Source organism: Homo sapiens, chromosome 9, assembly GCF_000001405.40.
Source record: "Homo sapiens chromosome 9, GRCh38.p14 Primary Assembly".
NCBI classification, from domain to species: domain Eukaryota; kingdom Metazoa; phylum Chordata; class Mammalia; order Primates; family Hominidae; genus Homo; species Homo sapiens.
The window spans coordinates 39,336,065-39,363,263 of NC_000009.12; the positions used below are offsets into that span (position 1 = coordinate 39,336,065).

At 43.0% G+C, this 27,199-nt stretch overlaps 1 protein-coding gene across 2 annotated transcripts; it reads left to right on the forward strand.

The window, feature by feature from the left end:
* The first annotated feature begins 19,602 nt into the window (after window positions 1-19,602).
* SPATA31A1 (SPATA31 subfamily A member 1) lies at window positions 19,603-25,898 on the forward strand. 2 transcript variants are annotated; one of them, XM_047423731.1, is made up of 5 exons: window positions 19,603-19,854; window positions 21,031-21,125; window positions 21,694-21,754; window positions 22,010-22,612; window positions 23,069-25,867. In XM_047423731.1, exons 1-5 carry the CDS (start codon window positions 19,625-19,627, stop codon window positions 25,743-25,745), a joined length of 3,666 nt encoding a protein of 1,221 aa, XP_047279687.1. In that variant the 5' UTR covers window positions 19,603-19,624; the 3' UTR covers window positions 25,746-25,867. The 2 variants fall into 2 exon arrangements, with proteins under 2 accessions (XP_047279687.1, NP_001078921.3); NM_001085452.4 differs by having other exon boundaries at window positions 19,605-19,855; window positions 21,068-21,125; window positions 22,010-25,898.
* Window positions 25,899-27,199: the final 1,301 nt, after the last annotated feature.

Here is a 27,199-nt window from a genome sequence, read left to right on the forward strand (position 1 = left end):
GCCGAGGTGGGCAGATCACAAGGTCAGGAGATCGAGACCATCCTGGCTACCACGGTGAAACCCTGTCTCTAGTAAAAATACAAAAAATTAGTCCAGGCGGGGTGGCGGGCGCCTGTAGTCCCAGCTACTCCGGAGGCTCAAGCAGGAGAATGGCATGAACATGGGAGAGGAGGTGGAGCTTGCAGTTAGCCAAGACCGCGCCACTGCACTCCAGCCTGGGCAACAGAGCGACTCCATCTCAAAAAAGAAAAAAATAATTCTTCCCAGGTTTTTTTCTAAAAATGTTGAGAAGCTATCTTTATCCGTTAAAATATATTTTTATGTTTGTTCTCCAGGATTAAGTTTCAATTTCATTTTTTTCCCTTATGGAGATCAGTGGTCCCAGTGTTGCTTATTGTAAAATATACTATCTTCACTTAACAACAATGAAAGCTGTGTTACAAAATCTGTTTCCCAGTATTAGTGCAAAATATATTTCTCTTTATGATTGTACTCAGATTAACTAGTTTGCAGGACTGTGTCCAGAGTTGGTTCCTTCCGGTGGGTTCGTGGTCTCCCTGACTTCAAGAATGCAGCTGTGGACCTTCCTGGTGAGTGTTACAGTTCTTAAAGATGGCACGGAACCAAAAAGTGAGCCTAGGAAGGTTTATTGCTGAGAGCGAAAGAACAAAACTTCCACACCCTGGAAGGTGACCCCACCTGGTTGCTGCTGCTGGTTGCGGGTGGCCAGCTTTTATCCCCTTATTTCTTCCCACCCATGTTGCGTTTCTGTCTTATCAGAGTGCCCTTTTTTCAATCCTCTCCACTATTGACTACTTTTAGAATCCTGCTGATTGGTGTGTTTTACAGAGGCTGATTGGTGCATTTTACAAATTCCTTGTAGGACAGGAAAGTTCCCCAAGTCCGCACTCGACCCAGGAAGTGCAGCTGGCCTAACCTCTCACTGCCAGAGGCTAATTTCCATCCTGGTATTTCTCAGGCCCATAGATAGTGTGAATTCAAATCCAAACCAATATGTCTATTGACTTATACTTAGAAATTACCATTTTTTTTTTCTTTTTTCTTGTCTACCCTATTGAAACCAAGACAAGCATAGATTTTCACTTTCTTCTTATGGGAGTGGGATTTTCCTAGCCCCACTTAACATGCTTCTCTTTAGAAATCCTAGATTTATGCAGGAGGCATTTTAGCCTATATTCCTCCCTGCATGGGCATCAGTCTCTGTCTCCTGAATTAGGCGCTCATGGTTCTGGGCCAATAGTTCCTGGGAGACACCCCAGGGCAAATGCCAGATGAGACACTCACACCTCTGGATTCAAACTTTTTTTGCTCTTGTAGATATCTGAAAATTTGCCTTACTTTGACTCAGCCCATGCATTAAAGCAGATGCTTTTAAATATTTTATGATGCATGTTTTAGGAAAGAGTCTGTCTGGGTATTTCTTCTTTTGATTTGCATTTTGCTTTCAATTCTTCTTTCACACTATCCTAAGCATTAATCAACTCGTCGTTTATGTCAGTTAGTACAAAACTTCACTATCCTGTTCATTATCACCATTTCATTTTGTTCTGCATAGGCCAGACTATTTATCTAAAAATGTTTAAAGAAATCTAAGGCCTTAAAGGATTCTTTCTCAGGGACTCTACTGTTTGTATTTAGAGAAATGCTCATTTGTTCCACTGTTTTACTTTCTTCTTGGGTCACGCTCTTTGATGACTGCCATCTTACAGAGGATGACAAAAGAGGGCCCAGGCTGAGACAATGATACCTGCTTGCCCCTTTGGATTTTATTTTCTTAGTGTTCTCAAAATATTAATAAAATGTCAAAAACAAATTAATATCACCAGAATGTGTGCCTCACTTAAAATTTCTCTCTCTAACAAGTTTTTGTTTCCTAGTTCCTTTGGTACCCTAATGTTTAGGTAAATAGTCTCTGAGGAAAGGATGTGAAAGTCATAGCAAAATATATGCTGGACTTGAATGAAAAATATCTGTTTCATAAAAGTTAAGCAGGCAACCAAAATTTACCTTTTTTAACCTAAATTATCTAAACATGTATTTACATTTCTGCTTCATTAAAATATATTTGAGATTGAATGCTCCTGAGACAGATTTTGGAATACCCTCCCTTTCTAAAATATATTTTTTATTTTTTGTGGACTAAACAGTTATTTAAAAATGAACTTAATGATTGCTAATTAGTTATCTAAATACTTATTTAAAAATAAACTTAATGATTGCTAATTACTCAGTTATTTATAATGCATTTCAAAATTAACTTTATTGTCTAAACCTCTTAACACAAATGTATTAAATTATGTAACAGAGAATTGGCTATTTTTGTTCAAATATCTATTCTTGTCAGACTTAAAATATCACTCAGCTATATGATTAAAAATGAACTACAGTCATTAAATTATTTCCCACTTATTTGTGGCATTTCTCCATATTAGAGGAGACAAACAGTGCTCTTTGAATCTTTTTTTTTTTTTTGAGACGGAGTCTCGCTCTGTCGCCCAGGCCGGACTGCGGACTGCAGTGGCGCAATCTCGGCTCACTGCAAGCTCCGCTTCCCGGGTTCACGCCATTCTCCTGCCTCAGCCTCCCGACTAGCTGGGACTACAGGCGCCCGCCACCGCGCCCGGCTAATTTTTTGTATTTTTAGTAGAGACGGGGTTTCACCTTGTTAGACAGGATGGTCTCGATCTCCTGACCTCATGATTCACCCGCCTCGGCCTCCCAAAGTGCTGGGATTACAGGCGTGAGCCACCGCGCCCGGCCCAGTGCTCTTTGAATCGGATGACAGTTCTATTGATAATGGCCATCACAATCTAGTTACGCATTATTAATTAGGTCAAGGCATGAATAAAATTTCTCCCTTGTTTCCACTCAAAAACTACAAGTATAGTTCCTTGGTAAGATGCTCCAACCATGGCTGGGTGCGGTGGCTCAAGCCTGTAATCCCAGCACTTTGGGAGGCTGAGGCGGGCAGATCACGAAGTCAGGAGATTGAGACTATCCTGGCTAACACGGTGAAATTCTGTCTCTACTAAAAAATACAAACAATTAGCTGGGCATGGTGGTGTGCACATGTAGTGCCAGCTACTCGGGAGGCTGAGGCAGGAGAATGGTGAGAACCTGGGAGGTGGAGCTTGCAGTCAGCCGAGATCACGCCACTGCACTCCAGCCTGGGCAACACAGTGAGACTCCGTCTCAAAATAAATAAATAAAATAAAATAAAAAATAAAATAAAAAAAAGATGCTCCAACCATGATTGGTGATGCCAATCATAGAAGAAAAGAGAATATTGAGAAATAATAAGACAGCTACTTTAAACCATTCTGTGCCTGAACATTTTGATGGCAATATTGGTCATATTATAAATTTGAAAATATAAATGGTAATCTAAATTGACTTTAGTCTACCAGTGATTATGAGAGCTTTATCTAAGTGAAACACTTGCATTTTTATTTCTAACATTTTTCAGAAAATGTGAAACTCCGACCAAGTGCAGTGGCTCATGCCTGTAATCCCAGCTCGTTGGGAGGCCGAGGCAGGTGGATCACAAGGTCAAGAGATCGAGACCATCCTGTCCAATCTGGTGAAACCCCGTCTCTACTAAAAATACAAAAATTAGCTGGGCGTGGTGATGCGCACATGTAGTCCCAGCTACTCGGGAGCCTGAGGCAGGAGAATCGCTTGAACCCGGGAGGTGAAGGTTGCAGTGAGCCAAGATCGTGCCACTGCACTCCAGCCTGGGCAACAGAGCAAGACTCCATCTCAAAAAAAAAAAAAAAAAAAAAGAAGAAAAAGAAAATGTGAAGCTCCTTATTATTTTGTTTTAATTTTAAGAATTCCACTTCCTAGATAAGCAGAACATAGAGCCAAGTGCTATGTTCTGGTTGTTTTTAATGAGTATATTCTCCCCAATTTATTATTTATTAATGTCTAACTTCAATTAGATGAGTTGATTACTTTTCATACACCATTGACTAAAGGAAACCTAATTTTACACGTAATTCAAGGGGATCTGTAAGTAAGAACATTTTAAAATTAAACCAACACATGTGCATTGAAAATCATTCAAACAGTTTGATGGGCAAAAAACCAGTGAAAACCAGAAACTTTTTTTTTTCCTTCCATAGACCTTGGTCCTGTTTTTCAGAGTTAGGCAAGGTTTATCATTTTCTTTTTTTACTATATGCTATTCTCTTGAACTGTAAATAATATTATACAATCACCTAATTTTGTTTTAACAATTTTAAGTAATATCCCTTGACTTTTTATGAACGGTAGAGAATATAGCTCCTTTACCCTACTTTCTTCTTCTAAAACTATATTTCCAATTTAGTCTTTAATATATAATTTTATGGGATTTTTTAAAAATTTGCTTTCTCTAAATAATATACTTACAGTGCTTAATTCTTTGCTTAAATAATATACTGTTTAGATAATATATGGTCCATCCAATTTGAACACCACTGATTGGCTCAGTAGGATGTGGAGATTAGTGTACAACTTCCCTCCCCTCCAACAGTCCCTGTCATAGCTTTCGACTTGTATCAAATTTCGTTCTATGCTTATATTTTCACATTTTATGTAAATTACATCCTATTTTGTAATTATAATAAAGTCTGTGCTTTGTTCGTAGGTTAATTTTGATCATGGAATCTCAAGTGAATTGACAGCATCATTATTATGTTTTCTTTTTTTTTCAAACCACAGTCGCAGGTGGCGTGATTTGATTTGTGTGAAGGCAATGAAATGATACACAGATACACCGAAGCCTCCCAAAAGAATCCTGGTTCCAAGACTCAAGAAGATGGATTAATGTTTTTCCATTAATTGTTGGAATTTATGCCATTTTTTACTATGTGCCATCAATTTTAAAGCACTTCTGGAAAGACATAACAATCTAAATGAGATGGCATTTTAAATTCATAAAAATATAGTATTTTCCTCAACTTTTATACATTTATGATGCATTATTTCTTATTTCCCGGGAATTTTACTACCTTTGTTTTGAATGATTAAAAAGGAAACACAGCACTTTTTTCAGCACATCACCAAGATAGCCTAGTTAATATTCTTCTCTTTCTGAAGTAGTTGAATTGGGATAGACAGCTTGCCAGGCCTGCTGCCACGTGTCAGCATCGCATCCCTACATTCAGCCACACTTGCATCTAACGACCATCTCTTTCATTAGATTTCTTTTGCACCTTTTCTTCCTGAATGAGTGCATGATACTTAATTTTCCTGTGCACTTGCATGTCTCAAGAAGGTTTTAATTCTTTTTGTATTGCATTAATATTAAGTTAAGTTTATAATTGCAAAATGATTTATACTCAGAACATTGAAGACTCCTTTGTTTTGTTACATCCTGTCAAAATGATGAGAAGACAGATCATCCTTTAGGGAAAAATTGGTTTTGATTGGTGTCAGCCTTTCCAACAGCAATGCTGGAGACAAGAATAAAATGAAGTAATATTTTTCAAGGATTAAAAGGAAACCAATTTTAATCCTTGAATTATTTGCAGCCACAATCTTTTAAATATGAAAGCCCAGAAAAAGACATTAAAAAGTAAGGCCTCAAAAGTTTTATTTCAAATAAATCCCTTTGAAAATGCTTAGAGGTCATACTCCACTAAGAAGAGAAATACACCGTGGTGTTAGAATTGAGGGTTCCAGAATCAATGGTAGTGGTGTTTATCATACTCTAAAAAATAAATGAAAACATAACATATTGAAAACAACCCCAAGTAAACTTCAGAAAGCACCCCCTTAGACAAAGTGCTGTCGTAACAGAGAAAGCAAACCAGAGGTGGCAAGAGGAGGCTAGAGCACTTATCTTGTTTGCTGAGATGATATTAATTTTGACACATATCAGAAATTGAGAAAATTAACATAAATAATGATATAACCACCATTACAATCTTAAAAATTTCCAGATTTCAAACAAATAGAAAAAGATTTGATCTATAGAGTGAAAGGTACAATAGGAAAAAATAAACAGTAAAGAAAGTATGAAAAATCATAAAATGAGATGACAGAAATAACTCATAATGGAACAATAATTACATAAATCAAAGGTTAAGATTGTCAGGTAAAATTTTTAAGTGTCAAAAAAACACTCAATAAAACCTATCGAAAATAAATTAGTGTAAAAAATATAGCAGGAAAATATGAATAAAAAGAGCTAGGTCCAATTTTTGATAAAAATTTGAATTCAAGTTAATAATATCCTAAAGAAGGAAAAAATCTGTAGACCAATAGAGAGAAAGGAAAGGCGCATTCAGACAAAGAAAATGTGTACAGAACACACTAGGGATATCAGAAGAGGCTGCTCATGGCCAGGCATGGTGGCTCATACCTGTAATCCCAGCACTATGGGAGGCCAAGGTGGGTGGATCACCTGAGCTCAGGAGTTCAGGACCAGCCTGGGCAGCAAGGGAAACCCCATCTCTACCAAAAATACAAAAAAATTCGCTAGCCATAGTGGCACATGCCTGTGGTTCCCATTACATGGGAGGCTGAGGTGAGAGGATTGCTTGAGCCTGGGAGGCGGAGGTTACAGAGAGCCCAGATTTTGCCACTGCACTCCAGCCTGGGCAAGAATGTGAGACCCAGTCTCAAAGCAAAACAAAACAAAATGAAAAAGAAGCTGCTCAAGACCAGACTGAGCTCCTAGACCTTGAACTCCAGTCCCACCTCACACCCTAAGTTTCCTAAAGAATCAGTAACTTAGTTCACCCTACTGCACTCCTGACTTCTGGATGTAGCACAAGTTTCTAAACTTATGCAAACAGTGAGGACTATCTATTTTGACAAAATAAGAAATGGAGTCAAGGCAACATGTAAAAGATATTTTTGCCAGTTTTATTGATTAACAAAGAAAAATTGTATATAGTTAAGGTATGCAGTGTGTTATTTTGATATACATATACATTGTGAAGTGATGATTACCACAATCAAGCTAACATATTCATCACCTCACCTGGTTACCTTTTTATTTGTGTTTGTGTGGTGGAGAACACTTGAGATCTACTCTTTCAGCAAATTTCAAGTATACATTATTATTGACTTTAGTCACTATGCTGTACATTAGATCTCCAGAACTTATTCATCTTATAACTGAAAGTTTGTACTTTCTGACAAACATTTTTTCTTTTCCCCCAACTCCCAGGCCCTAGTAAGCACTATTTTACTCTGTTACCATGAGTTTGACATTTTCTTAGTATGCATATAAGTGAAATCATGCAGGATTTTTTTGCATCTGTTCCTGGCTTATTTTACTTACCATAATAAACTCCAGGTTTATCCATCTCGTTACAAATGGCAGTATTTCCTCATTTTTAAAGGCTAAATGATATTCCATTACATATGTGTGTGTGTCTGTGTGTGTGTGTGTGTGTGTAATACATTTAAAACATCCATTCATCTGTCAATGGACACAGGTAGTTTCCATACCTTGGCTGTGTAAATAACACTGTAATAAACATGTAAGTATATATATCTCTCTGAGATAGTGATTTTCTTTACTTTGGATATATACCCAGATGTGAGATTGCTGGATTATATGGGAGTTCCATTTTTAATTTTTTGAGGAAACTACATACTGTTGTCTGTAATGGCTGTACCAATTTACATTCCCATCAACTATCAACTAAGCACAAGGGTTTCTGTTTCTCAATATCCTCAGCAACATTTGTTACCTTTTTACTGTTATAAAAGCCATCCTAATAGATGCGAGGTGATATCTCATTGTGCATTTTCCTGCTGATTAGTGATGGCAAACATCTTTTTCTTAATATATACCTATTGTCAATCGTATGTCCTTTAGAAATGTATCTCTTCAGGTCTGATATGCTTTGGCTGCGTCCCCACCCAAATCGCATGTTGAATTGTAGCTCCCATAATTCCCATGTGTTATGGGAGGGACCCAGTAGGAGATAGTTGAATCATGGGAGCGGTTTTCCCCATACTGTTTTTGTGGTAGTAAATAAGCCTCACAAGATCCGATTGTTTTATAAGGGATTTCCTTTTTCACTTGGCTTTCATTCTGTCTTGCCTGCTGCTGTGTAATATGTGCCTTTAGCCTCCCACCATAAGTAAGGCCTCCCCAGCCTCATGGAACTGTGAGTCCATTAAACCTCTTTTTCTTTATAAATCACACAGTCTTTGGTATGCCTTTATCAGCAGCATGCAAACAGATGAATACAGTAAATTGGTACTGGTAGAGTGGGGTGCTGCTGTAAAGTTATCCAAAAATGTGGAACCAACTTCGGAACTGGGTAACAGGCAGGGGTTGGAACAGTTTGGAGGGCTCAGAAAAAGACAGAAAAATGTGAAAAAGTTTGGAACTCCCTAGAGATTTGTTGACTAGCTTTGACCAAAATGCTAATAATGATATGGACAATGAAATTCAGGCTGAGGTTGTCTCAGATAGTGATGAGGAACTTGTTGGGAACTGGAGTCAAGGAAAATCTTGCTATGTTTTAGCAAAGAGACTGGCAGCATTTTGCCCCTGCCCTGGAGATGTGTGGAACTTTGAACTTGAGGGAGATGATTTAGGGTAGCTGGCAGAATAAATTTCTAAGCAGCAAAGCACTCAAGAGGTGACTTGGGTGCTGTTAAAAGCATTCAGTTTTAAAAGGAAACAGCATAAAACTTTGGAAAATTTGCAGCCAAATGATGTGATAGAAAAGAAAAACGAATTTTCTGAGGAGAAATTCAAGCCGGCTGCAGAAATTTGCATAAGCAACAAGGACCCAAATGTTCATCACCAAGACAATGGGGAAAATATCTCCAGGACATGTCAGAGACCTTTGCAGCAGTCCCTCCCATTACAGGCCAAGAGGCCTAAAAGGAAAAAATGGTTTCCTGGGCTGGTTTCAGGGGCCCCCTGCTGTTTGCCACCTAGTGACTTGATGCCCTGCATCCCAGCTACTGTAGCCATGGCTAAAAGGGTCCAAGGTACAGCTTGGACTGTGGATTCAGGTGGTGCAAGCCCCAAACCTTGGCAGTTTCACATGGTGCTGAGCCTGTGGGTGCACAGAAGTCAAGAATTGAGGTTTGGGAATCTCTGCCTAGATTTCAGAGGATGTATGGAAACTCCTAGATGTCCAGAAAGAATTTTGCTGCAGAGGTGGTGCCCTAATGGAAAACCTCTGCTAGGACAGTGCAGAAGGGAAATATGGGGTTGAAGCCCCCACACAGAGTCCCCACTGAGGTACTGCCTACTGGAGCTGTGAGAAGAAGGCCACTGTCCTCCGGACCCCAGAATGGTACAGCCACCAAAAGCTTGATCATGCACACAGGAAGGCTACAGACAATGCCAGTCCATGAAAGCAACCAAGAGGGGGGCTATGTCCTGCAAAGCCACAGGGGTGGAGCTGCCCAAGGCCATGGGAGCCCACCTCTTGCATAAGTGTGACCTGGATGTGAGACATGGAGTCAAAGGAGTTCATTTTGGAGCTTTAAGATTTGACAGGCCTGCTGGATTTTGGACTTGGGGCCTGTAGCCCCTTTGTTTTGGCCAAATTCACCCATTTGGAACAGGTATGTTTACCTGCTCCCTGTACCTCCATTGTATCTGGAAAGTAACTAACTTGCTTTTAACTTTATGAGTTCATAGCTGGAAGGGACTTGCCTTGTCTCAGATAAGACTTTGGACTGTGGACTTTTGAGTTAATACTGAAATTAGTTAAGATGTTGAGGGACTGTTGGGAAGGCATAATTTGTTTTCAAATGTGAAGACATGAAATTTGGGAGGAGCTGGGGCAGAATGATATGATTCGGCTGTGTCCCTACCCAAATCTCCTCTTGAATTGTAGTTCCCATAATTCCCACATGTTGTGGGAGGGACCTGGTGGAAGACAATTGAATCATGGGGGCAGTTTCTCCCATACTGTTCCCGTGGTAGTAAATAAGTCTCATGAGATCTGATTGCTTTATAACGGGTTTCCCCTTTTGCTTGGCTTTCATCCTGTCTTGCTGGCTGTCATGTAAGACATGACTTTCACCTTCCACTGTGATTGTGAGGCCTCCCCAGCTACGTGGAACTGTGAATCCATTAAACCTCTTTTTTTTTTTGGAGATGGAGTCTGGCTCTGTCACCCAGGCTGGAGTGCAGTGGCGCGATCTCTGCTCACTGCAAGCTCCACCTCCAAGGTTCACGCCATTCTTCTGCCTCAGCCTCCCAAGTAGCTGGGACTACAGGCACCCACCACCACACCTGGCTAATTTTTTGTATTTTTAATAGAGACAGGATTTCACCATGTTAGCCAGGATGATCTCAATCTCCTGACCTCATGATCTGCCTGCCTCGGCCTCCCAAAGTGCTGGGATTACAGGCGTGAGCCACCGTGTCTGGCCAAACCTTTTTCTTTATAAATTACCCAGTCTCTGGTATGTCTTTATCAGCATCATGAAAACAGACTAATACAAGATCCTTTGGAATTGTCTGAGTTCCTAATTTATTTGGATATTAACTTCTTATCAGATGTATAGTGTGTAAATATTTTCTCCCATTCTTTAGGTTATCTTTTCATTGTATTGGTTGTCTCCTTTGCTGTGCTGAAGCTTTTAGTTTGATTTACTCCCATTTGTCTATTTTTGCTTTTGTTGTCTATACTTTTGGTATCAAATCTGAAAATTTATTACCAATACCAGTATCAAGGAGCTTTTCTCTGATATTTATATCTAAGAGTCTTACAATATTGGTCCTATGTTGAGGTCTTTCATCCATTTTGAGACAATTTTTGTATGTACAGTGAGATAAGGGTTCAGTTTCATTCTTCTGCATGTGGATATCCAGTTTTCCCAACACCATTTAATAAAGAGACTAAATTTTATCATTGTGTACTCTTGGCACCAATGCTAGAGATCAATTGATTGTAAAGTCATGGATTTATTTCTTTCTATGCTCTCTATTCTGTTCCCTTGGCCTACATGTCTGTTTTTATGCCAGTAGCATACTATTTTGATTACTATAGCTTTATAATTTAGTTTGGAATAAGGTAATGTGATGCTTCCACTTTTGTTTTTTCTGCTGAAGGATGTTTTGACTGGGGTCATTTGAGGTTGCATAAAAATTTTACAACTGCTTTTTTCCATTTCTTTGAAAAATGCCATTGAAATTTTGATGGGGTTGCATTATATCTATAGATCGCGCTGAGTAATAGGGATATGTATCTTCTTCAAATTCTTTCATCAGTGTTTTATAGTTTTTGGTATATACAAATTTTACTGTCTTATTTAAATTTCTTCCTAAGTAGTTAATTTTTTGATGCTATTGTAAATGAGATTGTGTTCTTTCAGACGGACTCTCACTCTGTCGCCCAGGCTGGAGTGCAGTGGTGTGATCTTGGCTCACTGCAAGCTCTGCCTCCCGGGTTCACGCCAATCTCCTGCCTCAGCCTCCCGCCACCACGCCCAGCTAATTTTTTCTATTTTTAGTAGAGACAGGGTTTCTCCGTGTTAGCCAAGATGGTCTCGATCTCTTGACCTTGTGATCTGCCCACCTCAGACTCCCAAAGTGCTGGGATTACAGGCGTGAGCCACTGTGCCCGGCCCGAGATTGTTTTGTTAATTTCTTTCTGGGATACTCAACTATTAGTATATAAAAACGTAACACGTTTTTTTTAATGTTAATTATGTGTTCTGCAAATTTGCTTGTTTCTTAATTTTAACAGTTTTTAATTGGAGCCTTTAGAATTTTCTCTATATGAGATCATGTCATCTTCAAATAGAGACACTTTCACTTCTTTTCCAGTTTGGATGCCTTTTATTTCTTTTTCTTACCTAATTGCTCTGGCTAGGACTTACAGACTTTTTCAGAAACCCCCCAAAATAATCTAAGGGAGTCCATTGTCACTAGACCTGCTTTATAAGAAATTCTAAAGGGAGTTCTTCAAACTGAAATGCAATAAGACTAATTAGCATCACAAAAACATATGTAGTTATAAAAAGTCACCAGTAAAAGTAACTATACAGTCAAATTCAAAATATTCCTAATACTGTAATGATGGAGTATAATCACTTTAACTTTTAAAAGGTTAAAAGACAAAAAATATTACAAATAAATATAACTACAAAATAAACAAAGAAATAAACGCTGACATCAAAAAAACATAAAAACTGGAGGGGAGTAAAGTGTAGGGTTTTGTATATGCTTGAAGTTAAGTTGTTATCAACTTAAAATAGACCATTATAACTATAATCATACATTTCTTAATGTGGATATGTTCTGAATAATGCCTCATTATGCAATTTTGTCATGGTGTGAATATCATAGAGTATACTTACACAAAATTAGATAATACCACCTACTACACACCCAGGCTATATGGTATAACCTATTGCTTCCAAGCTACAAATCTGTACAGCATTGTACTATACTGAATGCTATAGGCAACTATAATACAATGATAAGCATTTGTGTATCCAGATGTATCTAAACATATAAAAGATACAATAAAAATGTTATAACCTTATAGGGCCACCGTTGTATATGTGGCCCATCATTGACCAAAACATCCTTATGTGGCACATGAGAGCATATGATGTTTTATGGAAGCCTCAGGATAATCACAAAGACAAAACATGTAATAGTTACACAAATGAGAATTTTACCATATGTTTAAAAAAGAATTAATACAAAGACACAGAAAAGAATCAAAGTATACCACTACAGAAAATAATCAAAATAATCAAATCATGCACAGCAAGAGAGAAATAAAAGAACAAAGAAACTGCAAAATGCCTATCAATAGTTACTTTAAATGTCAGTGGACCAAATTAGAAAAGACACAGAGTGGCTGAATGGACAGTAAAACAATAACCAAATATATGCCACCTATAAGAGATTCACTTCACCTTTAGAGACACACATAGACTGAAAGGAAAGACAGGGAACAAAAAAAAAGAAAGAGTAGCTATTCTTACAACAAACAAAATAGACTTTAAGTCAAAAACTGTAACAAGAGGGAAAGAAAGTCATTATAGAATGATACAAGGGTCAATTCATCAAGAGGATATAATTACTACAAATATATATTCTCCCAACATTGGAACACCTAATTGTATAAAGCAAATATTAACAAATCTGAAGAGAGAAGTGACAACAATAATACAATAACAGTTGGGGACTTCCATAACCCACTTTCAACAATGGATTGATCACTCAGACAGATAATCAATAAGGAAACAGATGACTTGAACTACACTATAGATCAAATGGACCAGACATATACAGGACATTACTTTCCAAAACAGCAAAATACACATTATTCTTGAGCATACACAGTACATTCTCCTACACAGGTCATATATTGGGCCAGAAAACAAGTCTTAGCAAATTTAAGAAGATTGAAATCTTATCAAGTATTCTTTTTGACCACAGTGGCATGAAACTGAAAATTAAAAACAGAAGAAAACTTAGAAAAGTGACAAATATGTGGAAATCAACCAACACACTCCTGAACAACCAATAGATCAAAGAAAACATCAAAAAAGAAATAAAATATCTTGAGACAAACTAAAATGAAAGCACAACATACTAAAACTTATGAGATGAAGCAAAAGCAATTCTAACAGGGAAGTTTATACAGGTTAAGTGCTAAATGAAGAAAAAAGATCTCAAATAAACAATAAACCTCAAAGAAATAGAAAAGAAAAAAAAAATGAAGCCCAAAATTAGAAGAAGGAAGGAAATAACAAAGATGATAGCAGAAGTAAATGAAATACACTAGAAAAACAATAGAAAAGATCAATGAAACAAAAAGCTGATTTTTTGAAAACATAGGCCGGGCGCGGTGGCTCACGCCTGTAATCCCAGCACTTTGGGAGGCCGAGGCGGGCGGATCACGAGGTCAGGAGATCGAGACCATCCCGGCTAAAACGGTGAAACCCCGTCTCTACTAAAAAATACAAAAAATTAGCCGGGCGTAGTGGCGGGCGCCTGTAGTCCCAGCTACTTGGGAGGCTGAGGCAGGAGAATGGCGTGAACCCGGGAGGCGGAGCTTGCAGTGAGCCGAGATCCCGCCACTGCACTCCAGCCTGGGCGACAGAGCGAGACTCCGTCTCAAAAAAAAAAAAAAAAAAAAAAAAAGAAAACATAATGGCTGGGCGCGGTGGCTCATGCCTGTAATCCCAGCACTTTGGGAGGCGGGCAGATCACGAGGTCAGAGATCAAGACCATCCTGGCTAACATGGTGAAACCCCGCCTCTACTAAATATACAAAAAATTAGCAGAGCCGGGCAGCGTGCGCCTGTAGTCCCAGCTACTTGGGAGGCTGAGGCAGGGGAATGGCATGAACCCAGGAGGCAGAGCTTGCAGTGAGCGGAGATTGCGCCACTGCACTACAGCCTGGGAGACAGAGCCAGACTGAGTCTCAAAAAAATAAAATAAAATAAAATAAAAATAGTAAAAATTGACCAACCTTTCACTAGGCTAAGAAAAAAGAGAGAAGCCTCAAATAAATAAAATTAGAACAAAAAAGCAGATATTAAAATTGGTACCATAGAAACACAAAGGATAATAACAGTCTAAACAACTATGTGTCAACAAATTGTTTAACTTAGAAGAAATAGAGAAATTTCTAGAAACATACATCCCCTAAGATTGAAACATGAAGAAATAGAAAATCAACACAAATAATGAGTAAAAATAATGAGTCAGTGGTCAAAAAGCTCCTGAAAAAGGAAAATCCAAGACCAGATAGCTTAGTGGAGAAGTCTAGCAAATGTTTAAAGAAGAATTAGTACCATTTCTTCACAAACTCTTCCAAAAGTTGAAGAGGAGGGAATACAAACATTTTTTATGAGGCCAGCATTACCCTGATAACAAAGACAGAAAAGGATACTACAAGGTTGACAGATATTTTTAAGGTGCAAATGATGTATTGTTGGAATTGAAAATACAGGATTTGTTTGTACAAAGATTTGTGTGTGGATAGGTGGATGCGTACTGGTGTGTGCATGCATACATATACAAGCTTACCTTGTTTTATTGCACTTCACTTTATTATGCTTCTCGGATATTGCATTTTTTACAGGTTGAAGGTTTATGGCAACCCTGCATCAAGCAAGTCTACCAGTGCCACTTTTCTGGTAGCATGTGCTTATTTTGTATCTCTGTGTTACATTTTTGTAATTCTTGCAATATTTCAAATGTTTTGTTATTATTATATCTGTTACGGTAATCTGTGATCAGTGATTATTAATATTACTATTGTCATTGTTTTGGGGCATCACAAACCATGCTCCAAAAGACAATGAGCCTAATTGATACATATGTGTGTCTGAATGGTTCCATTGATCTGCCCTTCCTCCATCCCCCCAACTCCTCAGGTCTCCCTGTTTTCTGAGACACAGGAATATTGAAATTAGGCCAATTAATAACTCTACAAAGGCCTCTATGTGTTCAAGTGAAAGTAAGAGTCACACATCTCTTATTTAAATCAAAAGTGAGAAATGATTAAGGTGAGTGAGGAAGGCATGTTAAAAGCTGAAACAGGCCAAAAACTAGGCATCCTGCACCTAACAGCCAAACTGTGCATGAAAAGAAAAAGTTCTTGAAGGAAATTAAAAGTATTACTCCAATGAACACATGAGTGGTATGAAAGTGAAAGAGACTTATCGCTGATATGGAGAAGGTTTGAGTGGTTTGGATAGAAGATCAACCCAACCACAACATTTCCTTAAGCCAAACCCTAATCGAGAGCAAGGACCTAATTCTTCTTAATTCTCTGAAGGCTGAGAGAGGTTGGGAAGCCACAGAAAAAAAGTTTGAAGCTAGCAGAGATTGGTTCATGAGGTTTAAGGAAAGAAGTCTTCTCCATAAGATAAAACTGCAAGGAAAAGCAGCAAGTGCTGATGTAGAAGCTGCAGCAAGTCATCCATAAGATCAGCTAAGAGAAGCAACAAAGGTGGCTACACTAAACAAAGGTTTTTACTGCAGATAAAACAGCCTTATATTGGAAGAGGATGTCATCCAGGACTTTTACAGCCAGGTAGCAAAATAAATGCCTGACTTCAATGCTTCAAAGAACAGGATGACTCTTTTGTTAGGGGCTTAACCTGAAGCCAAAGCTCATCTACCATTCTGAAAATTCTAGGGCCCTTAAGAACTATGCTACATCTACTCTGCCTGTGCTCTATAAATGGGACAAAGCCTGAATGACATCACATCTGTTACGACATGAATATTTTAAGCTCACACCTGAGAACTACTGCTTTAAAAAAAGATCTCTTTCAAAATATTATTGTTCATTGACAATTTACCTGGTCACCCAAGAGCTCTGATGGAGAACTACAAGAAAATTAAAGCTGTTTGCATGCCTGCTAATACAACATCCATTCTGCAGCCCAGGGATCAATGAGTAATTTAGACTTTCAAGGCTGATTATCTGAGAAATACATTTCATAAGGCTGTAGCCACCATGTATAGTAGTTCCTTCGATAGATCTGGGCAAAGTAAGTTGAAAACCTTCTAGAAAGGTTTCACCATTCTAGAAGCATTTGCAATTCATGGGAGGAGGTTAAAATTAAGAACATTTGTGATTCATGGGAGGAGGTCAAAATATCAACATTAAAAGAAATTTGGAAGAAGTTGATTCCAATCCTCATGGATGACTTTGAGGGTTCAAGACTTCAGTGCAAGAAGTAACTGCAGACGTGGTGGAAATGGCAAGAGAACTAAGATTAAAAGATGTGAAGAGAACTTAAGATGTGGCTGAATTGCTGAAATCTCATGACAAAATTTTAACAAATGAGAACTTGGATGAGCAAAGAAAGTGGTTTCTTGAGATGGAAACTACTCCAGGTGTAGATGCTGTGAATCTTGTTGAAATGACAACAGAGTATTTAGAAAATTGCATAAACTTAGTGGATAAAGCAGTGGTAGGGTTTGAGAGGATTGTCTCCGATTTGAAGGAAGCTCTACTGTGGGTAAAATGCTATCAAACAGCATTGCATGCTACAGAGGAATCTTGAAAGAAATAGTCAACTGATGTAGCAAACTTCATTGTTGTCTTATTTTAAGAAATTGCCACAGCCACCTCACCTCCAGCAGCTTCCACCATGATGAGTCAGCAGCCACAACACTGAGGCAAGGCCACTGACCAGCAAAAAGATCATGATGTTGAAGACTCAGGTGATCGATAGCATTTTTAAACAGTAAAATAATTTTTGACTAAGGTATGTACATTGACTTTTTTAGACATAATGGTATTGCCCACTTAATAGACTACAGTATAGTATAGACCTAACTTTTATATGCACTGAGAAACCAAAAATTCTGTGTGATTTGCCTTATTGCCATATTTGTTTTATTGCAGAACTGGCCACCAGAATCTTCCCTTCCCCTAGAACGCCCTTCACCCAAGCCACCTGCATTTTCCCCTCACCCATCATACCCACCCCCATTGTCTGGCCTGCCCTCCACCTCCTCCAAAAGCCTTCATTGCTCCCCCACTGCTGGACTGCATTCTGACTCCGTCTCAATGTGACTCAATGGCACTTCCATTGGGCACTGCCCTAAAGAGCTCATCTCCACAGTGGCCTGAAACCAAACCCACAGTATCTCTGAGGTATGCCTATGTAGCAGTCCCATAAGTTATCGTGCACTTTAAGCATTACCAAGTCCAGAACTGTGAATGCTATACATTTACAGAAATACCACTTGAAGGTTTAACTACTTATAACTGTTTCATAATTAGAATTACAAATTTTGAATATTAATTATTTTAATTGGGGGGAGGGGCCAAGTTGGTTGAGTAGAAACAGCTCTACTCTGCAGCCCCCACTGAGACAAACATAAACAGCGAGTGAATTCTGCATTTCTAACTGAGGTATCCAGATTCCCTCATTGGGACTGACTAGGCAGTTGGTGTGACCCATGGAGAGCAAGGAAAAGCAGAGTTGGGCGACAGTTCACCCAAGAGCTACACAGGGCAAAGAGACCTCCCTCCTCCAGCCAAGGGAGGCAGTGAGGGATTGTGCTACCCAACCGGGGAACTGTGCTTTACCCACAGATTTTTGCAAACCCCAGAACAGGTAATCCCTTTGTGAGTCCACACCACCAGGGCCTTAGGTCCCAAGCACAAAGCTGTGCAGACCCATAGCAGGGGCTCCAGCTGGCAGCCACTTGGGCAGGTACTGAGCTGTAGGAGTTTCTGCGTACTCTGGTGGCTCGCAGAAATCCAGTGAAGCAGGAGATCCATCAACTCCCATGAGAAGAGGGCTGAAGCCAGGGAGCCAAGCAGACCCACTCCCACAGAACCCCACAAGCTAAGACCCACTGGCATGGAATCCCCACTGGCTAGCACAGCACCTGGAGTCTGCCTAAGAAGACCAAGTTCCTGGGGGGAAGGGTGACTGCCATTACTGCGGGTCTAGCCGGTGGTTTTCCCCCACCAGTGCTAGGGAGACTGGGTGGTTTGCGCTGGGCAGAATTCCCACAGTGCAGTACAGAGGCTGTGGCAGATATACCATTATTGTATATCCAAAGGAATATAAATCATTCTATTACAAAGATACATGCACGTGTATGTTTATTGCAGCACTGTTCCCAATAGCAAAGACATGGAATCAACCCAATGCCCACCAATGATAGACTGGATAAATAAAATGTGGTACATATACACCATGGAATACTATGCAGCCATAAAAAGGAATGAGATCAAGTCCTTTGCGGGGACATGGATGAAGCTGGAAGCCATTATCCTCAGCAAACTAACACAGGAACAGAAAACCAAATACCACATGTTCTCACTTACAAGTGGGAGCCGAACAATGAGAACATATGGACACTGGGAGGGAAACAACACACCCTGGCACCTGTCGAGGGAGGGCCGGTGGTAGGGAGAGCATCAGGAAAAATAGCTAATGCATGCTGGGTTTAATACCTAAGTGATGGGTTGATAGGTGCAGCAAATCACCATGGTACATATTTGCCTATGTAAGAAAACTGCATGTCCTGCACATGTATCCCGAAAGTTAAAATAAAATAAATACATAAGTACATAAAATTTTAAAAGACAAAAAAAAATCTTAATTGTATGTGGGTAGTTCCCTTTGATTGAAAGTGAGATAGAAATAATTTTTTAAAACTTACTATTCAAAATTTGCAAAACTAAATAAGAGTAAAAGAAATTTACATTTTGTCCCTGGATTGATACAAGACAAAAACATAGTGTGGGAAAGCTGGAGTTGAGGATGAATGAGATTCTGAGAATAAAAATCCCTGGTACATAGCCAAAATTTCAGAACTTCAGATTTTCAAGGGCTATAAAATAGGTAACCTCAAGCCACCGTCTCCAACAGATAAAAGGAACCAGGTAATATCTATATTCCAGGGAGAAAGAATAGAAAATTGGCTATCACTGACAAAACTTAGTGGGAAGGAGGGATCTAGAAGGTGGGATGGTGGAGGGATCCCCAGCTTGGGGGGTGGGGAGGGGCTGTGCTTCAGTCTCCCCCTCCCCTGCCCCTCTCCCTCCTCCTCCCCCTCCTGCTGCACCTCCCCCTCCCTATGCGCCTCCCCAACAAAGGAGCCCTTTGTGACATCAAGGCCCCACCTCTGTGACGCAGGCCTGGGCCCCAGTCCCTAGTCCCCACGGGGATGCCCAGAGCTCAGTTGCTTGAAAGCAACGCGCCTATTCACATGGAGAATCTTCCCTTTCCTTTAAAATTACTTAGTGCCTCATCGCTAAACGCCCCCAGTTCCACACCATGGGTGTTGGATATCTTCCTCACTTTGGTGTTTGCCCTGGGGTTCTTCTTCCTATTACTCCCCTACTTATCTTACTTCCGTTGTGATGACCCACCCTCACCATCGCCTGGGAAGAGAAAGGTAAGGAACCCTCAGTCCCAACCCACAGAGCTTGATTCTCTCCTTTCTTTTTATTATTAGTTCCACTTTTCCAAATCCAGTGGAGAGCCTTCTATGATGGGAAGTCTCAGAAGAGACCAGAACATCATCCTTCCAGGGAGAGGCAGGGCAGCCAGGGGTTGGTAGGGGTAGATAGTGTACTGGGATTTCCATCCCAAGCTCTCAGTCCATCTGTGGGGGAGCACAGGAGGCATCAAGGCAAAATCAAACCAGTGGACTCAGCACCAGTACCAGTCATGAGACTGGGGAGGTCTCTGTCCGAGACCAGGCCCTGAGCCCTGGCTCATCAGCCCCTTTCTGGTGCAGGTGGCTCAGGGCCCAGCCTCCCCTGTGTGGGGTGATCTGGGGCCTGTGCTGGGCCCCTGAGGGCCTCCCACCAGGGCCTGGTGTCTCCTCTGGTCTCCTGGGAAGCAGAATCCTACCTGATAGCTCAGCAGTGCCTGCGGGCCTGAACTTGGGTGTTCCTGGAGCAGAGGAACAGGGACTGAAGGTGTCCGTGGTGGACCTCATATTGAAAATCCCTCTGTGTGTGTGTGTGTGTGTGTGTGTGTGTGTATTTTTATTTTATTTGTGTGTGTTATTTTCATTTTATTTTATTTTATTTTATTTTATTTTATTTTATTTTATTTTATTTTATTTTATTTTATTTTTTGAGATGGAGTCTCGCTCTGTGGTGCAGGTTGCAGTGAAATGGAGTGATATCGGCTCACTGCAACCTCTGCTTCCTGAGTTCAAGCGATTCTCCTGTCTTAGAGTCCTGAATAGCTGGGGATTACAGGCGCCCACCACCATGCCTGCCTAATTTTTGTATTTTTAGTAGACACGGGGTTTCACCATGGCCAGGCTGGTCTCAAACTCCTGACCTCAGGTGATCAACCCACCTTGGCCTCCCAAAGTGCTTGGATTATAGGCGTGAGCCACCACGCCCAGCCCCCTCTTGCTGTTTTTCTAAGAAGAAAAGCAGTTTATCATCCATTTAAACAAGAGTGGGAGGAAGCACACAGAGCTCCCTGAGCAAGACAGAGAGAGCCATGCGGTTCCTGAGTGCAGCATGCTGCGGCTGGGCTGGGGCAGAGAGGGAGAGCCGGTCCTAGCTTCTCACCCTTTCTTGTCTCCCATTGTCATCTTGTCTCTCCGCGTCATCTTGTCTCCGTACGTCATCGTGTCTCCCAGTGTCCAGTAGGGCGGAGGCGGAGGCCCAGAGGCAGGATGAAAAACCACAGTCTGAGAGGTAAGGCTCTGCCAGAGCACACTAGAGTTAATTTGATCTCATCTGTCCCGGAGGGAACTGACTCTGAAGAAGTCAGTTGAAGAAGCCTGAGGTGGGGGCTCCTAGGAAGGAAATCAGAACCCCGGGTCCTTCTCAGATTCCATGCGGGAATGAAGCCATGGTGGGCCAGGGACTGGGCGTTACCCAGCAGGGGGCAGTGTGTGTGTCCTGGGGAGACCAATGCCTGCCTGGATGCGGAGGGGGGTGAGGGGGCCTCCCGCTCCCTGGGAACAGCAGTCCAACTCTGCTAAGGCTGATTCCTCTTTGAGACCACCTCAGTCCTTTCTCCCCACAGGGCAGTTGTGAGGACTGTGGGGGTGGGGGGTCCGTGTGTGGAAGCCCTTTGTGAATGAAAAAGCCCTGTCCTCCATGCATTGCTATTAACGTCGGGGTCATGTGGCTTTGGACACAGATGGGTGGGGCCCAGGGTCTAATTCCCCATGGTCCTCCCTAAAGAAACAGCCACTCAGCCTCCTGTGAGAACCCAGGCCCCTCCCTCACTGCCCTAACCCAGTCTCCTGATTTCCAGCTGGTAGAGAGTGCCCGAGAGGCCTGCAGGAGACTTCGGACCTGCTTTCACAACTGCAGAGGTGAGGCACTTCCCCTTCCCTGCATCCTTCCTACCAGGGCTGGGACGTGACCCCAGGGCCACAGGCAGCCTGGAGCTGACCTGGGATGGGGAGACCAGGGGTACAGAGGATGGGAGTAAAACCCTGGGGCGAGGGGTAGCAGGAGAACTGGGCAATCAGGGTGTGGGGTGGTGGAGGGGCTGTGGCCCGAGCACCCACTCTGCCCTCCGGCCCCACCGGCTCCTGGCTGCAGCTCGTGTCTCCTGTCTCCTGCAGCCTCCTGGGGCCACACCTTGACAAAGGTGACTTTGGTCAGCTCTCCGGTCCAGACCCCCCAGGTGAAGTGGGCGAAAGAGCACCTGATGGAGCCTCCCAGTCCTCTCATGAGCCTATGGAAGATGCTGCTCCCATTCTCTCCCCGTTAGCTTCCCCGGATCCTCAAGCCAAGCATCCTCAGGATCTGGCCTCCACCCCATCACCAGGCCCAATGACCACCTCAGTCTCCTCCCTAAGTGCCTCCCAGCCACCAGAACCTTCCCTTCCCCTAGAACACCCCTCACCCGAGCCACCTGCACTTTTCCCTCACCCACCACACACCCCTGATCCTCTGGCCTGCTCTCCGCCTCCTCCAAAAGGCTTCACTGCTCCTCCCCTGCGGGACTCCACACTGATAACTCCATCTCACTGTGACTCAGTGGCACTTCCACTGGGCACCGTCCCTCAAAGCTTGTCTCCACATGAGGATTTGGTGGCTTCTGTCCCAGCCATCTCAGGCCTTGGTGGCTCAAACAGTCATGTTTCTGCCTCCTCCCGGTGGCAGGAGACTGCCAGAACCTCGTGCGCCTTTAACTCATCAGTCCAGCAAGATCATCTTTCCCGCCACCCACCAGAGACCTACCAGATGGAAGCTGGTAGCCTGTTTTTGCTCAGCTCTGATGGCCAGAATGCCGTGGGGATACAAGTCACAGAAACAGCCAAGGTCAACATTTGGGAAGAAAAAGAAAATGTTGGATCATTTACAGATCGAATGACCCCAGAAAAGCACTTAAATTCTTTGCGGAATTTGGCTAAATCATTGGATGCTGAGCAGGACACCACAAACCCAAAACCCTTCTGGAACATGGGAGAGAACTCGAAACAGCTGCCCGGACCTCAGAAGCTCTCAGATCCTAGGCTCTGGCAGGAAAGTTTTTGGAAGAATTATAGCCAGCTTTTCTGGGGCCTCCCCTCTCTGCACAGCGAGTCCCTGGTGGCTAACGCCTGGGTAACTGACAGGTCTTATACTTTACAGTCTCCTCCTTTCTTGTTCAATGAAATGTCCAATGTCTGCCCAATTCAAAGGGAGACTACAATGTCCCCACTGCTTTTCCAGGCCCAGCCCCCGTCCCATCTGGGGCCCGAGTGCCAACCCTTTATTTCATCCACACCCCAATTCCGGCCCACACCTATGGCTCAGGCCGAGGCTCAGGCCCATCTTCAATCTTCTTTCCCAGTCCTATCTCCTGCTTTTCCATCCCTGATTAAGAACACTGGAGTAGCTTGCCCTGCATCGCAGAATAAAGTGCAAGCTCTCTCCCTACCTGAAACTCAGCACCCTGAATGGCCTTTGTTGAGGAGACAACTAGAAGGTAGGTTGGCTTTACCCTCTAGGGTCCAAAAATCTCAGGACGTCTTTAGTGTCTCCACTCCTAACCTTCCCCAGGAAAGTTTGACATCCATTCTGCCTGAGAACTTTCCAGTCAGTCCTGAACTCCGGAGACAACTGGAGCAACACATAAAAAAGTGGATCATCCAACACTGGGGCAACCTGGGAAGGATCCAAGAGTCTCTGGATCTGATGCAGCTTCGGGACGAATCACCAGGGACAAGTCAGGCCAAGGGCAAACCCAGTCCCTGGCAGTCCTCCATGTCCACAGGTGAAAGCAGCAAGGAGGCACAGAAGGTGAAGTTCCAGCTAGAGAGGGACCCGTGCCCACATCTGGGGCAAATTCTGGGTGAGACCCCACAAAATCTATCCAGGGACATGAAAAGCTTCCCACGGAAGGTTCTGGGGGTGACTTCTGAGGAGTCGGAAAGGAACTTGAGGAAGCCCTTGAGGAGTGACTCGGGAAGTGATTTATTAAGATGCACAGAGAGGACTCATATAGAAAACATCCTGAAAGCCCACATGGGCAGGAACTTGGGCCAGACCAACGAGGGCTTGATCCCCGTGCGTGTGCGTCGATCCTGGCTTGCTGTCAACCAGGCTCTTCCCGTGTCCAACACCCATGTGAAAACCAGCAATCTAGCAGCCCCGAAAAGTGGGAAAGCCTGTGTGAACACAGCCCAGGTGCTTTCCTTCCTCGAGCCGTGTACTCAGCAGGGGTTGGGAGCCCATATTGTGAGGTTTTGGGCCAAACACAGGTGGGGTCTACCCCTCAGGGTCCTCAAGCCCATTCAGTGCTTTAAACTGGAAAAGGTTTCATCCTTGTCCCTTACACAGCTTGCTGGTCCCTCCTCAGCCACCTGTGAATCTGGGGCTGGCTCAGAAGTTGAGGTGGACATGTTCCTTAGAAAGCCACCAATGGCAAGTCTGAGAAAGCAGGTGCTGACCAAAGCATCTGATCACATGCCAGAGAGTCTTCTGGCCTCCTCACCTGCATGGAAGCAGTTCCAGAGGGCACCGCGAGGAATCCCATCTTGGAATGATCATGGGCCCTTGAAGCCTCCTCCAGCTGGACAGGAGGGCAGGTGGCCATCTAAGCCCCTCACGTACAGCCTCACAGGCAGCACCCAGCAGAGCAGGAGCTTAGGAGCCCAATCTTCAAAGGCTGGAGAGACAAGGGAGGCAGTGCCACAATGCAGAGTCCCCTTGGAAACCTGTATGCTGGCAAACCTCCAAGCCACAAGTGAGGATATGCATGGTTTCGAGGCTCCAGGGACCAGCAAAAGCTCTCTACACCCTAGAGTGTCTGTCTCCCAAGATCCAAGAAAGCTGTGTCTTATGGAGGAGGTTGTTAATGAATTTGAGCCTGGAATGGCCACAAAGTCAGAGACCCAGCCTCAAGTTTGTGCCGCTGTTGTGCTCCTTCCAGATGGGCAAGCATCTGTTGTGCCCCACGCTTCAGAGAATTTGGTTTCTCAAGTGCCCCAGGGCCATCTCCAGAGCATGCCTGCTGGGAACATGCGGGCTTCCCAGGAGCTACATGACCTTATGGCAGCCAGAAGGAGCAAACTGGTGCACGAGGAGCCCAGAAACCCAAACTGTCAAGGCTCATGCAAGAACCAAAGGCCAATGTTTCCCCCTATTCACAAGAGTGAGAAGTCTAGGAAGCCCAACTTAGAAAAACATGAAGAAAGGCTTGAAGGATTGAGGACTCCTCAACTTACCCCAGTCAGGAAAACAGAAGACACCCATCAGGATGAAGGCGTCCAGCTACTGCCATCAAAGAAACAGCCTCCTTCAGTAAGCCACTTTGGAGGAAACATCAAGCAATTTTTTCAGTGGATTTTTTCAAAGAAAAAAAGCAAGCCAGCACCAGTCACTGCTGAGAGCCAAAAAACAGTGAAAAACAGATCATGTGTGTACAGCAGCAGTGCTGAAGCTCAGGGTCTCATGACGGCAGTTGGACAAATGCTGGACGAGAAAATGTCACTTTGCCATGCGCGCCATGCCTCGAAGGTAAATCAGCACAAACAGAAGTTTCAAGCCCCAGTCTGTGGGTTTCCCTGCAACCACAGGCACCTCTTCTACTCAGAACACGGCAGAATACTGAGCTATGCAGCCAGCAGTCAACAAGCCACTCTCAAGAGCCAGGGTTGTCCCAACAGAGACAGGCAAATCAGAAATCAACAGCCCTTGAAAAGTGTGCGGTGCAACAATGAGCAATGGGGCCTGCGACATCCCCAAATCTTGCACCCCAAGAAAGCTGTATCCCCAGTCAGTCCCCTTCAGCACTGGCCGAAGACATCCGGTGCCTCTAGCCACCATCACCACTGTCCAAGGCACTGTCTTCTTTGGGAAGGTATCTGATTTGGTCAGTCACAAATTCTTTTTTAGCCTTCCCTGGAGAAAAAGAAGTCCCCAAGAAAAAATTCACTCTATGTAGAGAAAAAATATTTTCTCTCATGTTAGTACATGCAGAACATTTAATATACCACAATATATATGGTTTTTTATTCATAAGAGGGTGATGGCTTTTATTTGTGCCATGCTTGGTGTGGGCTTGGTTTCCAGAAGCGACAGGACATGGAGGGATGTTGACAGTGGTGCTGTAAGCCCACCTTCATCCTGAGTTCCTTCACTGAACCTTATGTTTCCGTAATACCGTCTTTACACAAACAACAAAAAATTCTAAAAACAAGATGAGAAAAACCTATGAAGGTCCCACTCTGAAATAAGGTTCAACCCATCTTTCCACTACTTACTCTACCTCAAACTTCATGCAGCTGTAGGGAGAAGGTTTGCAGAGATGTCACGGGACTGAACATCTCCATGCAGGCTCCAGGAAGTGCCACAGCCGAGTACCTTCATGTGTCACAAAATAGTGGAAGTTTGGGTGGGAGAGTGCTGGGCCCTGAGTTTAGAAGTGGGAGAAGTCTTGACCCTGGGTATCCTGGTGGAGAATAGATAACGTCTGCCCCTGGGAAGCCCCTTCTCTCCCTGACAAAGGCTGGGATGGAGATGGGCTCTCTTAGCTCAGCCAACATGCAAAGCAGAGAGTCCGCATCCCACTGCCTCTCCCTTTCTCGCACTCTGGAGTGGCAGTGGGGACAGACCTTCCAGCTCTGTGCATGTGTAGGTGGGGGCTAGGGGGTCAGGGGGGCAGCCTTTATGGAGGTTGCTGAGGGCCGTGAACTCCCCTGCCCCAGATGAGTGAATGACCCTGCTCCTGGGTCACCGGCCTTTGTCTATCTCACCTACATGTCTCTCAGCTTCAGCGAAGTAGTTCTGGGTGAATGGAGTAGGGTATGCCTGTGTGTGCAGAGGCTTCTGATGGTGGGACTCTGTAGAGCTACAGGGGATGCAGACAGAGAATTGAAAAGGAGGCAAAGTGGCGTGTGTGAGGGAGCCATCAGTGGTGCCGTGAGCCAGGAGACTCTGACATTCCAACCCCTTAGACAGGCCTAGAGGGGCCTAGTGTCTCATCCTGGCCACACCCCAGGGTCTGTCTCTGCTCCAGCTCCCAGATCACAGACCCCTAGAAAAACCACATTTACCCCCAACACGGAGGGCCATATTAGTGAGAAGGCAAAGTGAATAAGGAAGATGAATTTCTTAACATCTTCAATAAGCTTGCACATAATAATCTATTGAACTTTTTTTTTTTTTTTGAGACAGAGTTTCACTGTTTTGCCCAGGCTGGAGGGAAGTAGTGCAATCTTGGCTCACTGCAAACTCCGGCCCCTGGGTTCAAGTGATTCTTCTGCCTCAGCCTCCCAAGTGGCTGAGATGATAGGCACCCACCACCATGCCCGACTAATTTT

Excerpts from the sequence above, each read along its gene's own strand:
- SPATA31A1 (NM_001085452.4), top strand. The coding sequence starts at position 19,667 with ATGGAGAATCTTCCCTTTCCTTTAAAATTACTTAGTGCCTCATCGCTA. Across the intron at positions 19,856-21,067 it reads CATCGCCTGGGAAGAGAAAG|TGTCCAGTAGGGCGGAGGCG; the intron begins GTAAGGAACCCT and ends CGTGTCTCCCAG. Across the intron at positions 21,126-21,693 it reads GAAAAACCACAGTCTGAGAG|CTGGTAGAGAGTGCCCGAGA; the intron begins GTAAGGCTCTGC and ends CCTGATTTCCAG.